We start from the raw sequence: 11,255 nt of genomic DNA, 5'->3' as shown, positions 1-11,255 counted from the left end.
GAGGTGGCCAAATGTAAACTAAAACCCTTAATTAAAATAGTTCAATTTTGTAAAAAAAAAAAAAAAAAAACAAAACAAAACTTAGGCCCTTCTAAGACTGCAAGGAATGGGGAAAGTAAGGGCTACATTTCTAGAAAGACACCAATAATCTCCTCTCTTAGGTTTGTCAAACACAAATTTACATAACTCCAAACCAATAATCATAGCTGAAAGATTAAAATAACCCATGGGGTGATGAAGTGCTGAGACTAAGAAGCAGTCCAGAGTTACTACATTCTAATCTGAAGTATTCTAAAACAAGGCTCTAGGCCTCCCCAGTGCTGTGTGTTAAATCTCTGTTATCACAGGGACCACTTGCCTCATCCTTCTTAGGTGGAGCCCAGTGTGGTGGGTGAAACTAAGGACAGAAGTTCTGTCATAATTAAGGAGTATCTTGGGCCAGCCCTGTGGTCAACACTCAATACATTTTTGTAGGATGAACAAATGCAATGGCTAAAGGGCAGGGCATTCTAAGCACAGCATGCAATTGAGGCTGAGGGGAGGTGGGAATGGGTTGCCTGGGGAGCATGAACCTGGAGTGACAGAGCCGCCCTGGAACTGGGAGTGTGGGAAGCTGGAGGAGGGAAAAACTCTAAGGGCTTCACCTTGGAGTTCACAGTAGAGTTGGCCCATGGGAGGCAGGCACGATGTGAGAAGTTAGCTCATCAAGTTTGTGCTCTTTCCAAAAGAGCTAATATATGCTCTCAGGAGGACACTGTAAACCGACAGAGAACATGTTTAAGCACAGTACTTGATGATTCTGGGTTTTCCTTTCTTGACAGAAGCAAAAAGTAGAGAGGACTTGTAAGAAAAGGGGAACAACAGGTACAAGGCTTCATCTTCCATTTTTGCTGAAGTCAATGTCAAGTATTCCCCCAGCTAGATTTTAACGTGGATTTTACTGTCTAGGAGTTCAATACAATAAAGCTGATCAGGCTCAGAGTTGTTTTCCTTGATAACACCTATCAGTTCACATGTGGGAAATTAAAATCTAACAAGGAAGTGACAGTTGGACACAGGATACAGATCTGAGCAGGTTAGGCTTGCGTTCGATCTTCCAGAAAATGGGATTTTCAGTGTTTATATCTCCCAGAATAGTATAATTGTTACATGATATTTGATGACAGCTCAGGGAAACACAGCCACCAACTACAGACTAAATTACTAACTAGTTCCTTCTGGTTGCTACCTCTGCTAGGTGAAAGGTTACTTTTCTGTCTATCCAATTTCATCTCTTGAGATTACAAAAACAATAAAATTAGCCTGACTGGCTCTACAACCCAAAATTGATTTAAAATCTATTTGTTAATCCTGCAGATTTTTGGTTGGCTTCAGAAGAAATAATTAAAAATATATATAACCTTGTGGGTGACATTTTGGTGAAAGATCAAAGTTGATAATACAGTAAAATGTTACTGTCGAACAAAGACTTGAAAATATACACGTCCTATATACCAAAATAAATTTTAGTGCATATGGGCATCATATGGACCATATAACCCAAGCATATTTTCATCACTTTGGAATTTTCGACTCTAACTTTTTAGGCTTAAATATATTACCTTGGCACAGTGACATAACTGAAGGTAAGTAGGTTCAGTTGTTGACATTTAAAGACCTAAGAGATTTCAGTAACTTTACCCTGCTTTGGATATAAAGGATGTACAATTTACGTTATATAAAAACACTTAGCTTCTATAGGTAGAGATCAATTGTATCTCAAACATCCAAATCTTATTTCTAAATCAGTATCTTCTAAAAACATTTTAAATTAAATACACTCCACATACACTCGACACTTCAAATTTTATACCCTTGGTTGGTCAGCAGAATGGTTAGACTCTTAAAGAAAAAGGTATCTGGTTATTTAGATATTCCATTACTGTATCTATTTTTTCCATCTGTTCATAAAATTCCAGGCTTGACTTGTAACTGAGAACTATAACTGAGAGACCATAAATAATTTTTTAAAGCACATTTGTCTTAGACTAGAAATAATGATCATTCAATTCAGGTGATCATGGAAATTGGGGATGAAAGCACAACCATCTGAATGCTGAGTCATCTGCTATGTTGGAAAGAAGCAACTGTAGCCGCTGGCTAACAGCCTTTCTACCTGATCTCTCAGCTCCTGCCCAGGCTCCAGAGATCACCAAAGCTTATTTAACACTTCTCTCTCATTAAGCGTGAAAGAAAAGACGTTCTCAAAATGAGTGAAGAGTCCCATATGAACACAGTTACATTCACTGAGTTCCAGGAAACTGTCTTCCGGAATCATTTGGAAGAATTTAGGTTTTAACATACCAGGGCTCTCCATTAAAACACTTCAGAATTCCAGGGTTTGAAACTGGAAGATGTGGAAACAAACAAGAACCTCAAGGTCAGCACTATTAAATGCTTACTAAAAGACCTGCTGGAGAAAATTGATTCTTTGCTAGTACTTGTTCCACTATTCATTCCTTTTCAACTACATGTGAACAGTGTGGTGCATTTATTCTTACGTTCTCAATCATGACAAAAGATGCCTTTTCAAAGTTTCCAAAATATCATGGTTTAGAAAACAGTTTTGGGAAATCATTTTAGTGCTTTTTTCCACCGGTTATTAAGAATCTTTGCTGAGAAAACAGAATCTCAACATGCTCAAAGGGGTTACTAATAGCCAGGGAAAGATCTGGCAAGAAATCAGCTGGCGCTCCCTCATCTATTAAAATTTCTCTTGGGAGTAGATATAGGAGATGGTGTCAATATGAATCTACCGTATTTTTAGTGTGGGAAGAAAGTTCGTAATCTTGAAGAATCAGTTGTTGATTTCAATGCCTTCCTCTGCCACTACAATCCTGTTCATAACATCTGAAAGAATCACTGAATCTACTGTTCTATCACCATGGAATACACCAAGGAGAACCAGATGGATATATGTGGAAACATTTAACGTGAGTTAACTGATATTCATAATGAGAAAGCTTCAAGAATTCTCTAGCTGCTTAAAAAAGTGTGGTATGATGGAAAGGCTCCAGGCAGAGAAAGGAAAGCTTTGTTCTAGTCCCAGCTCTGTCGCTCACCAGCTGTATGATCTTGAACAAATCACTTTGTTTCTTTGATTCTTAGTTTTCTCATCTGTAAGATGGGGGTGGGGTCAGACTTTGAACTTTAAACTCCTTTCCAGCTCCAGGTAACCACTGTATCAATTACCTTTTAGACACCCTTCCTCGAGATGTAAACAGATATTACTTTGGGAAATCAGCTGAGTACATCGGAGGGACTCCGACTTGTTCTTGGGTCTTGGTTCACATTGCATGCACTGAGGCAAGGGCAGAGATCAAAAAAACAATGTTGAGAGCACGGCCAGGTCAGTGTCAACTGTGTTTCTCAGCCAGATACACGATGATATGTTGCAAGACATCAGAATGACAACTGAAAGCCAAAGCATTTGTTGTACTGGCCACTCACAGCTGACAGTCTGAGAGCCACTGGAGCCAAGAGACAAATACATCTGTGTTTGATTCAGTGTGCTTTACATTTAGAATGGCTGCCTCCCCTCCTCCTCCTGCTTATCATTCTTGGATTTGAGGCAGTCACATGATCCAGCTGCATGCAGAGAGAGAAAATGAGCAAGAAGATGGCGGGGATCTGAGCCAGAGCCCCCTTTCTTACCTCCTCCACAGGACTCGGAGCACTTGGTGAACCCCTCATACTCCCAGTCATACAGCTCGTCGAAATCCTGCAGGCCACCAAAGAGCCCATCTGTCTCGTCTGGGTTGAACTCAGGAATTTCCCCGCTGCATGGGCCTGCATAACAGGCACGCTGGGATGCTGGCTTGGGCCCTTCACACTCGTCAATAGGCAGGTCAGCCACGGACTGAGAGAAAGACAGGAGCACCTGGCACCTGACTATTCGCACCTGGGTCCCCACACCACAGGTGACTGTGCAGGCCGACCAGGCCTCTGGGATGAACCTGCAGTCGGCAAGCAAACAAGAGGACAGGATGAGAAGCCCCAGGCAGGAAGCCATGGGGGCTGTGAGGGGCTGCATCCCACCTGCCTCCAGTGCCCAGAGCTGTCCCAGGGGTACTCAGGGCTCCTCCACCCTGTCCTGTGATGGCGCTTCAGTTTAGTTCATAAGCGATTTTGCCACTGTTTCTGGGTTGCTTGCTTCATGAATGTCACATGAACTCCCAGCTGCAAGACATTCCAGAGACCACCTGCTTGCTCCCTACTTTGCACCCACAGTGGTAGCTCTTCCAAGCAGGGAATTGGTGGTTTCTTCTCCTCACTCTAAATTCCAATGAGATAGGAATTTGTTTTATAAGACCCCACTAATAAAATAGGATGCTGGAAAGAAGCCGGCCAGATCCTGTCAAACCAAGATGGCAATGAAAGCAAGCTCTGGTTGTCCTTATTGTTCATTATACACTAATTATAATACATTCACATACTAAAAGACACTCCCACCAGTGCCACGACAGTTTACAAATGCCGTAGCAATGTCTGGAAGTTACCCTATATGGTCTGAAAAGGGGAGGATCCTCAATTCCAGGAATTCTCCATTCCTTTCCTGGAAAACTCATGAATAATCTACCCCTAGTTTAGCATATGATCAAGAAATAACCATAAAAATAGCCAACCAGCAGCCCTCAGGGCTGCCCTGCCTATGGAGTAGCCACCCTTTTATTCCTTTACTTTAATAAACTTGCTTTCACTTTGCTCGTCAGCTAGCTCTTGAATTCCTTCCTGCATGAAGCCAAGAACCCATGAGGTCCCACCCAGGCTGGACCTCAGTTTTGGGGTTTGCCCTGTGACTCCATCACTTGTGCCTCCTGCAAGTTGCTGGCTATTCTTATAGCAGACTGATACTGATAACAAAATAAGCCCTTGGAGATATTTAAGGAAGTTTGTTTCTTTTTTAGTCTGGCTCTCATATTCTGTAACTTTCTTTGTTCAATATGCTTCCCGAGATTTATTTATATGTATAAGGAGGTATTTTTGTGTGTAAGTTTCCAAGAATGGTGCAAAGTCTTGTTCGTTACACATTCTTTGAATTAGTCTGAGCTCCAATTCTTTTTATATCATAGAGAAAAGCCGTGCTACACATGTAAATCCACACATACCACTGTAAATGAGAGGTTTTGCATTCAGACAAGTGTGCTCAACATCCTCACACCCAGTCCCCTAAAACAAGCTACATTAGTAAGAACTTCTGAGTTTTTCTCTAGAACGTAGAAAAATACCCAAATCTCCAAAAATGTCCTCCCATCTTCATTAATCAACCGTGGCCATAACTATAATGACCTTGAGAGGGGCCTAGGAAAAAAAAGCCCAGAAGCAACCACTAATAGTTTCAAAAAGTTAGTGTAATTCAGACAAAAACTTTGGGATAATTTTTTTATTTTTTATTTTTCATTTTTCCATGATCCTATTGCTTTCTCACAGGGAGTCGTGCTGCAGAGGCATGCAAACCTGGCTCCTTAACCTTGACTTTGGCAGACAATGAAAGAACTGATAAGAAGGTTATAGCATTAAATGCTAGCAAGTGCAAATGGTTCAGATCTGGTTCAGGGAAATTGAAATTCTAATAGCAAGCCAATCCAAATTTCCAAACTGGAAGGAACACAACAAAGATGTGTCCTGGGCCTGAGCCTGGGCTTCATGTGGAACAGGGGTGGTCTGCTCAGAAGATAAGAATTCCCCCAAAGCAGCACTCAGTGCTCTGAGGCATGGCAAGAGACCCTTTGAAAAAGGCCTGACCCCAGCTACCTTTGAAGAGTCATCCACTAGGAGAGAACAAAGGTCCCCATATAACCTTGTCAGGAAGGTGGATGAGGGTAGAATGGCCACCCAGAATTATCCCAAGAAAATCTCATCACAATTTCACCTCCCTCTCACCCTTTTAACTTCTTTGTTCCACCTTTTGCACCTAGAGAACTTGGAAAAAAATGGTATCCTAAAAGATTAAAAAGTCTTCTTGCTTTAAAAAATGACCCCTGCAGGAGCTTTTTAGGAACATAAAACCAAAAACTGCTATCAAAATCATTTTAACCCTTTTATTACACATCCACATCCACCTACCTGGCTCCTGTGACAAGAATCATAACAGATACACAAGCATTTAATTTTATCACACAGATGCAGACACAAAGGAAAATGCATGCTCAACTATTTTGTATGTAAGAAGACACAAAAGCAAATGATTAGCCTGCTAACTTTGACAATGGTGTGATGAATAATACTTCTTTAATAGTGTGGTACCAAACTTTGTTTTCGAATCAGAAAGATGGCAAGATCTCAAAAAGAACTGCACCCTACCAGCTTTTTCTATGCAGTAAGGATTATGGTTCTGTTGCTTATAAAGAGCCCTCTTTAGGAACCATTATAACAGGGCAAGGGCTGGCCAGCTTTTTCTATAAAGGGACAGATTGAAAATATTTTAGATTTTGCGGACTGCGTGAACTCTGTTGCAGCTACTCAACTCTGCCATTGTGGAATGAAATATGTAAACAAATTAGTGTGGCTGTGTTCCAATAAAACTTTAGTTTTAAAAAGGGTGTGATGGGATGCTGATGGAAGGGTCTGGATTTGGCCTGTGGACTGTAGTTTTCCAACCCCTGCTATAGAAAAAAACATTTGGTAGAGATACAAACGCATTGAGATCTATAGATAATCCTCAAACTTATTTTAGGTCTTAGTTTCCATCTCTTTTCACATATATAAGCTTATGGAATATGACAAGTAGCCAACTTGATTTGTGTTTTCAAAGCGAGCCCCAGATAAGATCTAGAATATAAATGATGCACAAACTAGACTCTTAGCTCTGCTTGTCTATAATATAAATGACTTTGCATTTGATGTCATTCCAGAACCAAGAAGATATACCAAAAGCACATAAAATAGAAAGGCCATTCTACTGAAGCCCCATGAACTTGTTGCAATGGTTGAAAGTTATTTTAAGGCATCATGCTTCAATTAAAACATATATATATATATATATATATATATATATATATGTATGTGCGCATGCACGTGTGTAATTTTTTACTATCTAGACATCTAGGGTTAATAGCAAAAACAATAAACATCTGTTTTATGTCTCCCAAATGAGAGTTTTATCAAATGTAAAACAGCCTCACTGGCTTATCTCCCAATCCACTATCCTTAGGTCTTCATCGAGTTCACACCAATTAAAAACAATTTGGTTTTTAAGTGGTGCTGTCCTTTGGCAGTCATCTTAATTTCTCTAGTGCATACAGTGTATAATATAATATAGTCTCTTTTGTTGAAGGCAGGAGATTATGTTTCAAAAGAAAAATATCTGATAGTGCAAATGGACAAATGAATAATAACTGTTTTTCATAGGAGGCTTTTCCCCAAGTCCCTAGATCTCCCAGCTCTGTATTTACTATCTTGAGTTTTCTGGCCACAAGTGGGAGGAAGCGAGGTCAGTGAGAGGGCAGGCAAGTGAGTTAGGAGGTTTAATTCTAATGTTTAGAAGTCTCATCTCGAACAGCACTTGCTGAGCTAGAAGCTTTAAAGAGGGACCTTTAAAATAGAGGGAAATTTTTTTTTGTTTTTAAATCAGTACATTAATCACTTTCATGTAAAAATGGACAATAAAAAGGTTAAAATTTGGGAAGTTTAAAAATTCTTCTTGTCGGCCGGGCACTCACGCCTGGGATCCCAGCACTTTGGGAGGCCAACGCAGGCAGATCACCTGAGGTCAGGAGTCTGAGACCAGCCTGGCCAACATGGTGAAGCCCTGTCTCTATAAAGATACAAAAATTAGCCGGGCATGGTGGCAGGCACCTGTAATCCCAGCTACTCGGGAGGCTGAGGCAGGAGAATTGCTTGGGCCCGGGAGGTGGAGGTTGCAGTGAGCCAAGATCGTGCCACCGCACTCCAGCCTGGGTGACAGAGTGAGACTCCGGCTTGAAAAAAAAAAAAACTCTTTTTGTTAGCAACACTACTGTTGGATGAATGAAGAATGGTTTGACAAATTATTTCTTTAAAAGATGGGTGTAAACTTCACAAGTAACTGATATGAATTCTGTATTTAGTCTTTCCTTCTCAGGAAATTAAAACAACAACAAACCACACCTGGCAAATGAATGATTAATGCTTCTGGCTGGCCTTCTATTTGCAAGCTTAATTGTTCCTTTCATTAAGAAAAAAATATATTCTTTAATTAGAGTAATTACCATAGTCTCTTTTATGAAATAGAAAACAGTGACAATAAAATTCACTTATAAAATCCCTAAATGGTTTAAAAGTTCATTAGTGACTAGTATAGAGTTAGAAGCATGCACTGAAATAATAAAAATAATCACTTTATTAATATACTGATAAACAAAAACAACTTACTCTTGGTTGATTAGTCTCGTGTCACCACAGATATTAGCTAGCACTAGCCTCTAGGTGTATGTCTACATGGCCTGTAACTAACATATTTGATATGGTTTGGTTCTGTGCTCCTACCCAAATCTCATCTTGTAGCTCTCATAATTCCCATGTGTTGTGGGAGGGACCTGATGGGAGATGATTGAATCATGGGGGCGGGTCTTTCCTGTGCTGTTCTCATGACAGTGAATGTGTCTCATGAGATCTGATGGTTTTAAAAGTGGGAGTTTCTCTGCACGAGCTCTCTTTTTTGCCTGCCGCTATCCATGTAAGATGTGACTTGCTCCTCCTTGCCTTCCACCATGATTGTGAGGCCTCCCCAGCCACATGGAACTGTAAGTCCAATTAAACCTCTTTCTTTTGTAAATTGCCCAGTCTCAGAGATGTCTTTTCAGCAATGTGAAAATGGAGTAATACAATGTGAAAATTAACTTTTCCTTTTATCCTATTACTTTCCTCTCTCTTCCTTTCTCATATATGTTTGTTTTAAAAATCATTGGGATTATTAAAAATAAAAACAGCTTTATAGGTGTCTTATTTTGATGCTATCACTAGTTTCATGCCCTAATTTAAAAATGCAAATTGAAACATGCAGGAAGTCTCATTAAAAATACTCAATTTAGGTATAGGTTTTCAATCTTATTACATTTCAAGCCATGAGCCAATAGAGGTTGTGGATTTCTCTTTACCTGTTTGATTTGGTGTATGTTTGTGTATGTGAGTGGTGGCATGACAGTAGGGTGAGAAAAGAGAAGGGAATAAACTGAATAATATGTGAGAAAAATTAGAGTTTAAAATCGGGCACAGTGGCTCATGCCTGTAATCTCAGCACTTTGGGAGGCTGAGGTGGGCGGATCGCCTGAAGTCAGGAGTTTGAGACCAACCTGGCCAACATGGCGAAACCCTGTCTCTACTAAAAATACAGAAATTGGCCAGGTGTGGTGGTGTGAGCCTGTGATCCCAGCTATTCAGGAGGCTGAGGCAGGAGAATTGCTTGAACCCGGGAGGTGGAGGTTGCAGTGAGCTGAGATCTTGCTACTGTATTCCAGCCTGCTGGGTGACAGAGTGAGACTCTGTCTCAAAAAAAAAAAAAAAAAAAAAAGAACCCAAAAGATTACTGATTACTGGATAACTCTGTTAAGTGCATTCTTCCTAGGTTGTCTTAGCCTTTCATTGACTTTGAGCTATTATATTTTACCACCCTCTAAGTGGCAAGAAATTGATAGTGCAAATGATTCCTGCCCAGAGAAATACAGATTAACTGTGTCTAGTGGAATGCAGTTGATTGTTGCCCTGTAGCTAGACCAATTTTGCATCTATTTGTAAATTCATTTGGGCATTCATATTTGCCTAAATAAATAGGGTTTTTAAACTTCCTTTGAATTGGCTGTAACATCTTATTGGTTCCCTCATTGGTTAATGAGGTAGGTTAAATCTTTGTCAGATGTTCATTTTATATTTACATGAGAATCATGGATTTTCCCTTTTAAAAATCTTATCATTAACAAGTGGCCACAGAGGGATCTGGAAAATAGTATATTGGAAAAAGAAAATATGTCATAAGTAATTCTACTCTGAATCAAGTCTTTTCCATAAATATGTTATTTAGGACCAAAAAATTTACATACTTTACTGGTAAAATATGTAATTCCATATTGCCTCATCATTTTTTAACCCAATCTTCATTCTTATATATATTTTTTAAACTTTGAAAAGTTGATCCTTCCCCTGATTCTGGGCAATCCTTGAGACATTAATGGAGTAAAAACCTTAGGATAAAGTGCAGTTAACTAAACCTAAGCTGCACATTTTGGCATCTGAAGAGGCTTTTGGATAAATAGGGAAAAAATTACTACTGGATGAGAAAGAAACTTGGAAGAGAGAAAAGGAAACACCTTCTTTGTATTTCTACTCTTATCTACTTCCCATTTTTACATGAGATGAGAAGATCTCGTGTAAAAACTCTTTAGTTATTTAATGCCTCTCAATGATGTCAAAAAAAAGTTTTAAATAAACCCTCTAAAATAAGTAAGCAAACACCATTTGGAATGCTATAATGGAAGGGAAACTCTTCAATTGAATCACTTTAGGAATTTTAAAATTACTTGTAAAATCTATAATATTAAGGCATTCTTAAAATATAGCTGGAGCATTAAAGTTTTGAGATAATACTTATCCAAAATATCCCTCTAAATTTACTTAGAACCACGCCTAAATCATTCCACATAAATGAGAATCTAACTTATTAGGAAATATCTTTACTCAAGGATATTTAATCTGAATGTGGAATTATGAAAATATTTCTCAACTGCTGTTGTTTACAATTCTCTGGAACTGCAAATAAATCATGCTAGTTATGCAACTCATATTGAGGTCTCTAAGCAAAATTTTTCAAAGGTTCTAGGACATCACTCCTCAAAACATCTGACAGCACCACTTCTTTTCATAGATTTCTCAAATCCTCAAGTGTCAAGCCTAGGCTATGAGGCATCTTCAGCACTGTAAGGTGCCCCAGGAGAATAATCAAAAATATAATGATCCTGGAAATTAAAATAAAACAAATGATAATTTTGAAGCAGCCACCAATACAACTACTTGAAAAGAAAAAGATTGAGTGTCCCTGTCTAATATTGCTAACCAGTAATAATTTGACAGAAGAACTTAATTTAAAAAACATATTAAAGTGGCCAGGCACTATGGCTCACACTTGTAATCCCAGCATTTTTGGAGGCCAAGGCAGGAAGATCACTTGAGGCCAAGAGTTTGAGACCAGCCTGGGCAATATAGCAAGACCCCATGTCTACCAATAATAATTATAATAAGTTAGC

At 39.2% G+C, this 11,255-nt stretch overlaps 1 protein-coding gene across 16 annotated transcripts in view; it reads right to left on the bottom strand.

Annotated features, from left to right (window-relative positions):
* Nucleotides 1–11,255, bottom strand: part of ADAMTSL1 (ADAMTS like 1) — a 1,004,318-nt gene that overhangs the window by 200,209 nt on the left and 792,854 nt on the right. For all 16 annotated transcript variants that reach the window (XM_011518064.4, XM_017015312.3, XM_011518063.3 and 13 more), the window contains one exon: nucleotides 3,694–3,995. In XM_011518064.4, coding sequence (XP_011516366.1) covers nucleotides 3,694–3,995 — 302 coding nt within the window. The remainder of the gene's footprint in view (nucleotides 1–3,693; nucleotides 3,996–11,255) is intronic.

The sequence above is a fragment of the Homo sapiens genome, chromosome 9 (assembly GCF_000001405.40).
Source record: "Homo sapiens chromosome 9, GRCh38.p14 Primary Assembly".
In the NCBI taxonomy this organism is placed as follows: domain Eukaryota; kingdom Metazoa; phylum Chordata; class Mammalia; order Primates; family Hominidae; genus Homo; species Homo sapiens.
This window is presented reverse-complemented; position numbering and strand designations above follow the sequence as displayed.